The following is a 14251-nucleotide window of genomic DNA, read 5'->3' as shown; positions in this document are numbered from 1 at the left end:
AGATTAAAGTAAGACAGGCATAAGAAATTATAAAAGTATTATTTGGGAACTGATAAATATCCATGAAATCCTCACAATTTATTCCTCTGCCACAGCTCCAGCCGGTCCCTCCGTTCAGGGTCCCTGACTTCCCACAACACTTTTTTTTATAAATTACCCAGTCTCAAGTATTTCTTTCTTTTATTCTTTTTTTTTTTTTTTTTTTTTTTTTTTTGAGATGGAGTCTCACTCTGTCACCAGGCTGGAGTGCAGTGGCGCGATCTCAGCTCACTGTAACTTCTGCTTCCTGGGTTCAAGCGAATCTCCTGCCTCAGCCTCCCGAGTAGGTGGGACTACTTGGCCCATGCCACCATGCCCAGCTAATTTTTTGTATTTTTAGTAGAGATGGAGTTTCACCATGTTGGCCAGGATGATCTTGATCTCTTGACCTCGTGATCTGCCCTCCTTGTCCTCCCAAAGTGCTGGGATTACATGTTTGAGCTACCGTGCCCGGCCTCAAGTAGTTCTTTATAGCAATGCAAGAATGGCCTAACACATTCTCTTTTTTTTTTCTGCATTTATTTAGTCATTGTAAACAAACATTCTCTGAAAAGGAATTTGGAGGAAAGAGACTTTATTCCAGTGAACAGTTTGCAAACCAGGGAAACACAGCCTTTGGTATAAAACAGAAGTGTGCTCCAGAGAACAGAGAGACGGTTTGGATTTTATAACCAAAATTGCCACCCAGATTACTAACTAGGTCTGTTTACACAAATGAGGGATTCAAGCTAGCTTAATTCTGATTGGTTGGCACAGCTGAGCTTATTGGTTGGTTCAGGTGAGCTCTGTAAATCCCAAAGTTCAATAGAGGTGTGAGTTTTCAGTGAACTCAGAGTATGTGGGTGACCTTTAGTAGGCAAATGGCCACTTGGCTCTGTTTAAAATTTGTTAGCCACGTGGGATCCATCTTAAAGGATTTCCTCTTTCAGGTTTGCATTTATTCACATTATACCATAATGACGAATAATACTATTTACCAAGCATACCACCCCAGGTGCCATGAATACAGTTGTGAACAAAATGGACAAGGTCTTACTCTCATGAAGCTTACTTTATATGAGAGGGAAATAAACATTAATAAGTAAACCAATAAACTAGGAATTCCAGATTAGGAAAATTGTTGTGAAGGAAATAGATAACTGCTGAGGGACAGGATAGTTGAGGGAGAAGTGACTACTTTAGATTGCAGGGGAAGGATGTCTTTTCTGATGAGGTCACTTTTGTGCAGAGACCTAAGGACATGAAGCTGCCAGTCATTGAAAAAGCTAGGAAAAGAGCATTCAAGGCAGATAAGACTGTACCTTGAAAAAAAGATCTGAGGTAGGAAAGAAATAAAAATAATAATCAAGGAGGCTGGGCACAGTGGCTCACTCCTGTAATCCCAGCACTTTGGGAGGCCAAGGCAAGTGGATCATCTGAGGTCAGGAGTTCAAGACCAGCCTGACCAACGTGAAACCCCTTCTCTACTAAAAATACAAAATTAGCTGGGCGTGGTGGTGGCTGCCTGCAATCCCAGCTACTCAGGAGGCTGAGGCAGGAGAATCACTTGAACCCGGGAGGTGGAGGTAGCAGTGAGCCGAGATTGTGCCATTGCACTCCAGCCTGGGCGCCAAAGCGAGACTCTATCTCAAAAAAAATGAAATAAAATAAAATAATCAAGGAATAGAAAGGCCAATAAACTAAAGCATAGTAAACTAGGGGCATAATAATCTGTACTAAGGCCAGTATGGTGGACACTGCTGGGTGCTTCCCAATACCCATTCATTCTTTCTTCCACATTATGTGTAGAAATATGCCTAGTTTTAACTTTCACCTCCCTAGTTCTCTCTGCAGCTAAAGGGGCCATGTGGCTCTTTCTGGTCAATTAGATGAAAGTGGAAGTCTACTGTGTGGGTCTTCCAGAAAGGGTATTGTTTTCCTGGTAAAAAGGAATTAGCTCATTTCATAAGCACCATTTACCCTTTGCCATTTCGCCTCCTTCCTTTATTCCAGCTTGAAAGGAGGACATAATTCCTAGAGAAGGAGGAGCTATCCTGACACCAATACTGACAAAAGCCACACAGTATGGGTGGCAGAGTTGGGTGCAAGAAGGAGCCTGTCTTTTATGACTTCCTCAAGTAGATACACTGGCCCTGGACAGCTGGCTTCTGGACTAATCAAGAAAATAAACCCTATCATTATGATTGTGTTAATTTTATGTAAAAATCCTGACTGAAAACTTAAACATCTAAGGCCTTACGGGCCATTCTGAGAAATTAGGATCTTATCCCAAGTGCAATGAGAAGCCATTAAAACTCCACCAAACTTTATTGTTCACAACATAGAGAAGTAGATGTTATAAACATTGAAACTGGATAAACAGCAGCATTCAAATGGGCATTGTGTGGGATCAGGGTACTGGATTCTTAATACTTGCTTTTTTTTTTGATACAGAGTCTCACTCTGTTGCCAAGGCTGAAGTGCAGTGGTGCGATCTCGGCTCACTGCAATCTCCGCCTCCCAGGTCCAGGCGATTCTCCTGCCTCAGCCTCCTGAGTAGCTGGTATTACAGGCACACACCACCACGCCTGGCTAATTTTTGTATTTTTAATAGAGATGGAGTTTCACCATGTTGGCCAGGCTGGTCTTGAACTCCTGACCTCAAGTGATCCACCCGCCTCAGCCTCCCAAAGTGCTGGGATTACAGGCATGAGCCACCACACCCGACTAATACTTGGTTCTACTTCTGTCATCTCCCTCTTATTTCCCACAATTCACTGGGTCAGAAGTAGCTTCCTTCCCTCTCTCTCTTTCCTTATGGAAAAAATTTTTTTGTCATAACTTCTGTTTTTTCAGTTAAAGAAACCCTTCACACTCACCAGTCCTGCTTCTTGATAAGTTAATCCATGCAGAAGGATTTTTTTAAACCCCTTCTCACTTGACAAAGCCTGGCTTTCAAGATTAATCCTATGCTGGAGACTCAAAAATCCCATTTGACAGTTGCTTCTTTGTTCCTATTCATATCTGTTCTTCCCCCTAAAGCACAGAAACCATTATTTCAATGGATGGAGTGCCTCAGGGCAATAAGATACTCAAATATAAAAACATCTAAAAGTATTTCAAAAATTTTATGCTCATGGTGTTTTTTTTTTTATTTTGACTATATAGTTTGGGCACATTCACTTCTCTATGCCTGTTTCCTTACCTATAACGATGAGGAGATATGGTAATCAACACCATACAGCTATAAGAATTAAAGAAGATAAGTTTTATAAAATGTCTAACAAAAAATTGTAATTATTTTTTTCAAGCATTTGCAATGTGATACCTACAATTGGCTATATACTTTACACATATTACCACGTTTAGAGCTGACAGTTACCCCCAGGAGGGTTGGTGTGATTGTCTCTATTTTAGAGATAAGGTTCAGACTCGGAAAAGTTAAATAACTTGCCCAACTTCACAAAGCCTATCTAATAATTTCTAGAGTCAGATGTATTAGTTTTCTATGGGTGCCATAACAAATTACCACAAATTAGTAGTTGAAAATAACAGAAATTTATTTTCTCACAGTTCTGGAGACTAGAAGTCCAAAATCAATTTTGTTGTGCCAAAATGAAAGTGTCTACTGGACTATGCTCACGCTGAAGGCTCCAGTGGAGAATCCATTCTTTGCCTCTTAGAGCTTCTGGTGGCTGCTAACATTCCATGGCTTGTGGCCACATCAGTCCAATCTCTGCTTCTGTGGTCACATTGCCTTCCCCTTTCCTGTTTGAATCAAATTTTCCTCTTCCTCTCTTGTTATTATTATTATTATGATTATTACTATTATTATTTGAGACAGAGTCCTTCTCTGTTGTCCAAGCTGGAGTGCAGTGGTGCGATCTCAGCTCACTGCAACCTCTGCCTCCCAGGTTCAAGCGATTCCCCTGCCTCAGCCTCCCAAGTAACTGGGATTACAGGCATGCACCACCACACCCAGCTAATTTTTGTATTTTTAGTAGAGATGGGGTTTCACCATGTTGGCCAGACTGGTCTTGAACTCCTGACCTCAGGTGATCCACCTTCCTTGACTTCCCAAAGCACTAGTATTACAGGTATGTGCCACTGCACCCAGCCTCTCCTGCTCTTTTATAAGGACACTTGTGATTTCATTTAGTGCCCACCAGGATAATCTCATCATCTCAAGATTCTTAACTACATCTGCAAAGACCCTTTTTTCATGTTAGGTAACATTTATGGGTTCCAAGGATTAAGACCTGATATCTTTTGAGGTTTTATTCAGTTTGCTACATAAGGATTCAAATGTAGATCTATATGACTATAAGCTTAAATTTCAACCATGCATTTGTCCACTTCATATTTATTAAATTCCTGATACATACAAGCACTGTGGCAGATACTGTGGCTACAATGGGAAGCAAAACCAATCACCACTGGTTGATTTGGGCTGCCCTTATGAGTTGACAAGTTCACTGGGGAGATAATATTGGTAAAAATAATCATGCAAATAAATGTCAAATTGCAACTATGATGCATGTTATGATAGGAGGTACATGGTGCTCTAGGAATTTGTGATAGGCAAATTTGGTCAAGTCTGGGAAAGCTCCACATACTAAGAAACACTTGAGATCTGAAGGAAGAATAAGGGTCACTAGACATAAAACGAAGAACAAGCAAAAATCCTTATGCAGTCCTGCTAGCACAAGGTCTGACACATATTAAGTGCTCAGAAAATCAGGTTCCCTCTTCCTACTCTCCTCTCTTCCTTAAAGAATCTACTGGTGCAACTATAGTCTTATTCTAACAGACATAGAACTACTCCCATGGGGCTGTAGAGAACTACACAGGTTTCCTTAAGTGTCTTCCTAACTCATGCTCTGTGCTGTAGTCCATGTAACATCTGTCTTCACAGGTCATAGTTCATGAGTGTAAATTTTGATAAATCTTTAATATACCTTGCTCCATCAAGACAAGAACCAAAAATTAAATACTTAGTTTGTAAAAAAAAAAAAAAAAAGCAAGCCTTTGTCAACATGCTGTGTGTTCCAAAATGGGATTGAGACATTGTCAAGACATTTGAAAAACCCCAACAAACCATCCATTAACAGAACTTTTTTTTTTTTTTTTTTTTGGAGACAATAGTCTCACTCTGTTGCCCAGGCTAGAGTGCAGTGGTGCGATCTCGGCTCACTGCAACTTCCACCTCCCTGGTTCAAGCAATTTCCTTGCCTCAGCCTCCCGAGTAGCTAGGATTACAGGCTCACGCCACCACACCTGGCTAATTTTTTTGTATTTTTTGTAGGGACAGGTTTTCCCCATGTTGGCCAGACTGGTCTTGAACCCCTGACCTCAGACAATCCACCCGCCTCGGCCTCCCAAAGTGCTGGGATTACAGGCGTGAGCCACCGCACCCAGCCAACATTTATTTTTTTAAAAAAGGTCTTGTTAATTCTATCTCAAATTGTTTATTAGGCAAGAGAAAGTTATTCAAAGACAGTCGTTGCAAATGTTACCATGTGTTATGTGAAAGAAATTTCAGAAAATGTGCTTTTGCAGTTGAAAGTAAGTAGTTTTCAAAGCTTTCATGGACTGTTTTTTGGTGTTTTTTTTTTTAAGCCAGTCAAATTTAGCTGGCACGGGGTGGGGGGGGTGGCAGGGGCAGGGCTGTACACCAACTTTAGTGACACTAATGTTAATAAGTTCTGATATCCCTTACTATCGGACCAGCCTAACTGACATTTGCTATATAAAGAAAATAAAATTATCTGATTTAACAGCTAGTTGAAAAACAAAATGTGGAATAGTTTCCTTTTTTGTTTTAGATCTTATTCAATGTTATTTCTTAACCTTCTCAGATATTTCTTTTTTTTTTTGAGACTGAGTCTCACTCTGTCACCCAGGCTGGAGTGCGGTGGTGCAATTTTGGCTCACTGCAACCTCCAGCTCTCGGGTTCAAGTGATTCTCCTGCCTCAGCCTCCCAAGTAGCTGGGATTACAGGCATGCATGACCACATCCGGCAAATTTTTGTATTTTTAGTAGAGACAGGGTTTCCCCATGTTGGCCAGGTTGGTCTCGAACTCCTGACCTCAAGTGATCTGCCCGCCTTGGCCTCCCAAAGTACTGGGATTACAAGCGTAAGCCACCACACCCTGCCTAAATGTTCTGTTTCTTAACCTGATGATGGTTATGTAAATGTCCATTTTATTATTCTGTAAATCATACATTGTTGTGCTTATGATTTATTTCACAATTTAAGAAAGATCACCACCAATGCCCTTGCTCAGATTCCATGCTCATTAAAGAGCATTCTGGTGATGCTCTGACTCCTATTGTAACTGTGCCTCCAGTAAGGGAATGGATATTGGACCATTTGGCATATATAATTCTTTTTTTTTTTAGAGTAATAAACTGGTGTGCAAGTTTTATTTTAGAAAAAAGTACTGATGAAACAATGAATGCTTAGTTCATTTAATGACTGTGTTCTTATAAATGAAATTAAATTGGTCTCTCAATATATCCTCTTAGAGCCAATATATCTTCTGCAAGTAACCAAATTCATTCTCAGAATCAGGACTTTCTGGATGCTTCATTTTCATCCCATATTGCAGCTTCAATTTTTAAAGCATCATATTCCCTCATCGTATCAAATTCAAGCCACAGCTGTCTCTACTTCTAAGCTGCTTTCATTTGTTCTTCAGTGAAACAAGGATCAAATATTATTCCTTAAATATTAAAATTTGGACAGTCCCAGCATTTGGACCAGGGCTGAGGCTTCATTTTCATTTTCAGCTTATTAACAGGAACTTCTTGGCTAGGCTCTTGTGCTACTGGCTTCATATTCACATCAACAGTGCTATATTCAGGAAAAGCATCTCGTAACCACAGCAAGCTATCATCCACCCATTTCTCTAATTTGACCACTTGAGTCTCCCGGATTCGAGGATTATAAAGTTCAAAGCAAATTTTAACACCTTGTCCTTCAATAACATTCCTAAGGATAAAAGTAGCCCCAAGTCCTTTTCCTGATCTCTAGATGCAAATCCCCAGAAACTGGCTGATTTTTTCACTGGCATATGAGTCAGCTGTAGTAACACAAAGAATACTTCCAACATAGAACTCTGGAATGTGGAGTACTTTTCTCCTCTCTAACATAACTTTTCTTCCTATTTGAAACTTCAGAGGATTTATTCTTCCCCTTGGAGGAATGAATTAGGGACTCAAGAACTGCAAGCAACAGAGGCCAGCCCTGAGCCTGGAGACTCCAGCCTAGGTTCCTTGCAACCCCATACCCCGCCACAATGCAGTCCACCATGCTAGCTTGCTCACGTTGAGACTACCAGTTTCCATGTTTTAAATTAGTAATTTTTCTTCCTTTTGGTGAGTTCTGTAAGGTTCCATAAGTAACCTCTCATCAATATTTACAGCTAGAGAAAGAACTGAAAACTGTGGGTTTGCATCAAATAAAAATTACTGTGTATAGTAGCAGTGCTGCAAGAAGTAGGACAAGAGTTATCTGGACATACATCCACAGAGAGTTTGATTGATTTGGTGGCTGGGAGATAAGGGCATTCCTTGTGATTGCTTCTGTTTATGTCAATGGAGACAAAGTGGTCAGCTGACGGTGAGGGAAGAAAAGGGAGTATAGACAGTAAGAGGAGACAAGACAATGTGTGATATAATCTCTTTTAGACAGTGGGAAAGCAAACATCATAGGAAATTTCCTCCCAGGGAGTATTTAACGATCCTTTGATATTTGTGTATGTGAATTCAATCAGCATGGTTGAGGCTGTTTTTTGTTTTGTTTCAGGAATGCTCAGCTTCGTGGTGCAAACACAAAGTAGAAGAGAGTGGGGTTTAACTAGGGGTTGGAGCATTGCTAGGAGAGTCCAATAGTGGGATCAAGCATCAGGAGAATGATTCTAATGAAGGGCGATGGGTTCTAAGCTGAGTAAGGGGAGAAGGGAGGAACTGAGTCAGGTAATCTGTAGTGGAAAGTAGAAGTTAGTTGATTGGAGGACACCAGTCAAGTAGTTGCTCTAGTGGGTGCACTCAAGTGAGTGGGCTGGAAGGCTAGTGGGGGAGGGGTGGGGTGTGAGAGAGGGGGAGGTTCCAAGCTGAGATTGGGATGCTGTGCAGAACTGAGGATATCAAAGTCATGAATATAGCCACAGGAATGAGTGATAAAGACAACTGAGTAAAAGCCAAGTCAAACAAGCAATTTTTGGCCTTATCTAGTCTCTTCTCTGCACATTGGTCTCCAATATGTAACTATTTTACCATTGCACGATAACAATAAACTTGGCAGTTCTCGGAGGACTTATCTTCCTGTTTATGAAAGAGCAGTGAACTCAGAGGTTATCACTGGTAGGTAGATGGTTAACGCACAGTAAATAGACCTATAATTCACATGGGAGTGATCATAGGACAAAGTGTTCTGGGAGCATTATAAAACTCCAGGGAAATCAAGAGGCTAAATGTGACTTGTAAGGCTGCAAACAATAAAGGTGGCAAAAAAGGAGGAGTGTTGAGTGGTTTCAACTCATGATGAAGGAAACTCAATAGTAGGAAAAAGGAACTGGGTTAAGCACATTCACCCTAATTCTTCGGGGTTATAAGTCAAGGACAAATAAATCTGCATACCCTTTTATTTACTCCTTTATCTCCACAAAAGGGAATATTTTTACATGAAGTAAATCAAGCTAGAATGAATATCCACAGTAGCCTTGAAGAGGAAAGCAAGGATAACAAAACAAAAGTGGATAGTATATGAAGGGTTCAGAACCACTTTCTCCCAGTAGGTTTAACCTGAGGCACCAAATAACAGAAAACTGCAAATAAATTAGAGGGAAGCAGCACTGAGTTCAGGTGCAGAGTTTAATTTCAATCTCTTTCAAATCTCAGATTAAAAATTGTATAGTTTGGACATTCTACATAGCAAAATTATTAGATAAGATATTCAGGTTTAAATTCTAGTCTCACTTATGAGGCAGAAAAAAATGTAACTGTATATACCTACTCGAATGCTAGTTTGACAATTTTATGATCTCATTCATAAATTTATTTTCTTAGAGTATAAACTTAGATAATTTTCTAATAAGGTGTTTCCTTATTGGTCATTGAATTTATCGATCATAGTTTTCTGAAACTTTCCACTACTTGTTGGGAAAAAGCTGAGTGTTGGGAAAAAAACTGAGGCAGGGCTTGCATGTCTGACATAATGTCCTCTGGAATGTGTCTAGACTTGCTGGCTCCTTGCTTCTAGCCCTCCTAGGCTCCTAGATCGATTGTATTCCCATTATCTCAAGTAGCAGAAGATGTTCCATATAAATGCTAAACCATCACAGCTGTAGATCATGCACCTGCCCTTTCGACCCCCACATTCTCACGACCTGTTTCTTTGTTGGATTACCAATAAATAGCTTGGGCTCCCAGAGCTCAGGGCCTTCCCAGCCTCCACAATCCCGATGGCCCTCTGGTCCCACTTTCCTTCTCAAACTTTTTCTCAATCCTTTGACTCTGCCGGACTTTGTCGCCCCCACGATCTGGTGTTGGGACTAATCATCCCAACATTCCTGGTGGCCCAACATGGGGCAACAAAGACCCCGGTGAAGGAACACTAGAGTATGTGAAAGCAGAGGACGCATCATCAAAGGACACCCAAGGATGTCTAAAAGAAGCTCGGCAGGAAAGCTGAGCACTGTGAAGAACGAGGGTAACAACGGGACAAAGAAAAAGCAGACATTCTACTTATTTAAATTTCTTAAGGCATTTATTACAAAGAGGAGGAGTGAAAGTTAGTACTCAGAATTTGTTATCACCCTTTAATGCAGTAAAGCAGTTTTGCCCATAGTTCCCAGAAAAAGGGACTATGGAGTTGGATGAATGGGAGAGAATTGGTGGAGGTTTTTAAAGTGTATAAAGGTCGAGCAAAAATTCCAGTCTTGGTCTGGTCAATGTGGGCGCTAATAAAAGCAGCTCTTGAGCCATTTCAAACAGATGATGAGGCAGATTCAGATGAGGAAGAGGAGGATGAGTGTAAAAAACTACCCTCAGATTCTGAATGTGAGGAACAGGAAATGGAGGAAATTAAAGAAAAGAAAGGGAAACTGAAAAAAGTATGTTTTACTAGCCCGTTGGCTCTACCTGCTGAATTAAGTGAAAGACCACCTCCTCTCTCTCCCCTTAATGGGCGAGAAGATGAATTAGCTACAAAACTTACTGCTCCTGTAGTTGCAACATTAAAATCTGGAGCAATTGGTGATGCTATACAAAATTCTATTCAAAAGGCTAGAGTGGAGGCAGACCTTGAAGCATGGCAATTTCCCATAACTATAATCCAGCAGGAAGGACAGAATATAGCTAATTGGACCACCTTTCCTTTTAAGCTGATAAAGGAATTCAAGCAAGCCATTAGTCAATATGGGCGAAACTCTCCTTTTGTGCAAACTTTATTAAAAAATGTTTCTCTCAATAATATGTTAATACCGTATGATTGGAAAACTTTAACAAAATCTGTTCTCACTTCATCTCAGTACTTGCAGTTTAAAACCTGGTGGGCTGATGAAGCTCAAACTCAGACAAGGGAAAATACACAAGCACGACCACCTGTGCCTGTTTCCTTTGAACAGTTAATGGGAGTTGGACCTGATTGGGGTTGATTAGAAAATCAAGCAGTAATGGAGGATGTTGCCATTGTTCAGCTGCGCTCTGTGTGCTTACAGGCATGGGAAAGGATAAATGTTACAGGAGAAAAATATCCTTCTTTCAGTTCTGTCCAACAAGGACCTAAAGAATCATCTATTAATTTTATTGCTTGGCTCCAAGAGGCTGTGTATAAAGCCATAACTGATAAAACAGTTCAAGATGTTGTAATACAGCTTCTTGCATACGACAATGCTAATGCAGAGTGTTAAACTGCTGTTAGACCCCTGAGAGGGAAGCCTCATTTAGCTGAATATATTAAGGCTTGCGATGGCATTGGAGGTAACTTACATAAGGCTACTCTTTTAGCTCAGGCTATGGCTGGATTACGAGTCAGAAAGAATATGCCCCATTTCTCAGGCTCTTGCTCTAATTGTGGGCAATTTAGACACATAAAAAAGGAATGTAGAAAAGGAAATCAAAAGGCAAGAGCTACCAACAGAAAAGTACTTGTGTATGCCCCCGTTGTGAAAAAAGCCATCACTAGGCAAGTCAGTGTCATTCTAAAATTAGCAAAGATTGACAACCTCTCTTGAGAAACAGGAAGAGGGACCTGCCTCGAGTCCCTCAACAAACCGAGGCATATCCGGCACAGCCACTGCCCTTACAAATGTACAATTGTCCCCCCACCACAGCAGGCGGTGCTGTTGTAGACCTCTGAAGCACAATTCCCATCTCCTTACTTCCTGGGGAGCCACCAAAAAAGGTCCCTACAGGAGTTAGGGGACCCTTACCCGCAGGAACAGTTGGTCTATTACTTGGAAAGTCTAGTCTAAATTTGAAAGGTGTCACTGTGCACATGGGAATAATTGATTCTGATTATACCAGAGAAATTCAATTAGTTATTAGTTCCTCGACTCTATGGTCTGCTTCCCCAGGAGAAAGAATTGCTCAGTTGTTGCTGTTACCTTACATAAAACTAGGAAGCAGCACAATGAAGAGAACAGGAGGCTTTGGTAGAACTAATCCAACAGGAAATGCTGTATATTGGGTTAATCAAGTGTCTGACAAAAGACCTATTTGCACAGTAACTATTCAGGGAAAAGATTTTGAAGGACTAGTAGATACTGGAGCTGATGTCTCTATTATTGCTATAAATCAGTGGCCCTGGGACTGGCCTAAGCAAAAGGCATTCATTGGTATTTTTGGAGTAGGAGCTTCCTCGGAAGTTTTTCAAAGTTCCTTTATTTTGCCACATCAAGGGCCAAATGGTCTGGAAGGGACAATTCAGCCTATCATTACACCTATTCCTCTCAACTTATGGGGTAGAGACTTATTGCAATAATGGGATGCTGAAATATCTATTCCTATGGATCAATATAGCAGTAACAGTAGACAAATGATGATAAATATGGTATATTGCCCAGGAAAATGACTAGGAAAAGATAAAAATAGTCAATCAGAACCTTTAGAATTAAAAGGACAAACGGATCGGACCAGATTGGGGTGTCATTTTTAGAAGCGGCCATTGTTGAGCCTCTGGCTCCCATTCCTCTCGTTTGGCTAACTGCCAAACTGGTTTGGGTGGACCAATGGCTGCTGAAACAGGAAAAACTGGAGGCTTTAAAAGAGCTGGTACAGGAACAATTGCAAAAGGTTCATATAGAACCTACTTTCTGCTCTTGGAATTCTCCTGTATTTGTCATTAAGAAAAAATCAGGGAAATGCAGAATGTTAACAGATTTAAGGGCTGTTAATGCTGTAATTCAACCCATGGGTGCACTACAACTAGGGTTACCCTCCATAACAATGATTGCAAAATACTGGCCTCTCATAGTGATAGATCTAAAGGATTGCTTCTTTTACCATTCCTTTAGCTGCCCAAGATTATGAAAAATTTGCTTTTACTATTTCCGCCATAAATAATAAAAGAACCAGCAGACAGATACCATTGGAAAGTACTACCACAAGGCATGCTAAATAGCCTGACTATCTGCCAAACTTATGTCGGGAAAGCTATTAAGCCAGTTAGAGAATGGTTTAAAAAATGTTGTATCATCCATTACATGGATGATATTTTGTGGGCCGCTGAAACTAGGGAAGAATTGATGTTGTGCTACAAACAGTTAGAAAAGGCTGTAAATGCTTCAGTGTTGATTATAGCCCCCAGTAAAATCCAAACTTCTACTCCCTTTCAATATCTAGGAATGAAGGTAGAACAAAGTCCTATTAAGCCTCAAAAGGTTCAAATTCAAAGAGATAATTTAGAAACCTTAAATGATTTCCAAAAATTATTAGGAGACATTAATTGTATTTGTCCAACTTTAGGCATTCCTACCTATGCTATGTCTCACCTCTTTTCTACTTCACGAGGTGATTCTGACCTTAACAGGAAATGCTCCTTGTCCAAACAGGCATTGGAGGAACTTCAATTAATTGAGGAAAAAATTCAGCAAGCACAAGTAGAACGGATTAATCCAATGCAACCATTACAGTTTTTAGTTTTTCCTATGAAGCATTCACCTACAGGAGTTATAGTTCAACAGGATGATCTGGTTGAGTGGCTTTTTCTGCCTCACAATACAACCAAAATGTTCACTCTGTACTTGTTGGATCAAATTGCTGTGCTAGTAGGACAAGCAAGGCTGCGCACAACAAAGCTAATGTGATATGATCAAATCAGATTATAGTTCTGTTAACTAAACAACAAATTCAACAAGCCTATGTTAATTCCCAAGAATGGCAAGTTAATTTGGCAGGTTTTGTTGGCATTCTTGATAATCATTATCCAAAATCTAAGATATTTCAGTTTCTAAAATTAATATCCCGGATATTGCCTTCTATTACTCAAAAAGCCCCTACTAAAGGGGCCCTTACTGTTTTTACTGATGGATCTAGTAATGGAAAAGCCTCATTTGCAGGAGCTCAAAAACAAGTTTTGCAAACTGACTTTGCTTCTGATCAAAGGGCTGAACTTATGGCTGTGATAACAGTGTTAAAAACTTTTAAACAGCCAGTAAACATTGTTTCTGATTCAGCCTATGTAGTGCAAGCCACACAAAATATTGAACGTGCCTTAATTCAAAATGTGACTGATGAACAACTTAATCCTTTATTTCATTCTTTACAGCAAGCACTACAACAAAGGCATTCACCTTTCTATATCACTCATATGAGAGTACATACTAACCTCCCTGGCCCTTTAACTAAACTTAATCAAAGGGTGGATGCATTGGGGTCTGCAGCTTTTGCTGATGCACAGACATTTCATTCTTTAACCCATCTTAATGCTGCAGGCCTTAGGAAAAGATATGGTGTATCATGGAAACAAGCTAAAGAAATTGTGCAACACTCTTCTGCCTGCCAAGTCCTGCATTCGCCACATCAAGGAGCAGGAGTCAACCCTAGAGGTTTATCTCCAAACTCCATCTGGCAGATGGATGTAACACATATTCCTGCTTTTGGAAAATTGTCCTTTGTTCATGTTTCAGTAGATACCTATTCACATTTTATCTGGGCCACATGTCAAACAGGGGAGGCTACAACTTATGTTAAAAGACATCTTTTATCTTGCTTTTCTGTTATGGG

The 14251-nt window shown here is 40.3% G+C and overlaps 1 pseudogene; it reads right to left on the bottom strand.

The window, feature by feature from the left end:
• On the bottom strand, positions 6393–7359 carry LOC100129693 (mitochondrial ribosomal protein L19 pseudogene; annotated as a pseudogene).

Source organism: Homo sapiens, chromosome 4 (genome assembly GCF_000001405.40).
Source record: "Homo sapiens chromosome 4, GRCh38.p14 Primary Assembly".
Taxonomy (NCBI): domain Eukaryota; kingdom Metazoa; phylum Chordata; class Mammalia; order Primates; family Hominidae; genus Homo; species Homo sapiens.
Note: the sequence above shows the minus strand (reverse complement) of the source record. Positions and strands in the feature narration are given on the sequence as shown.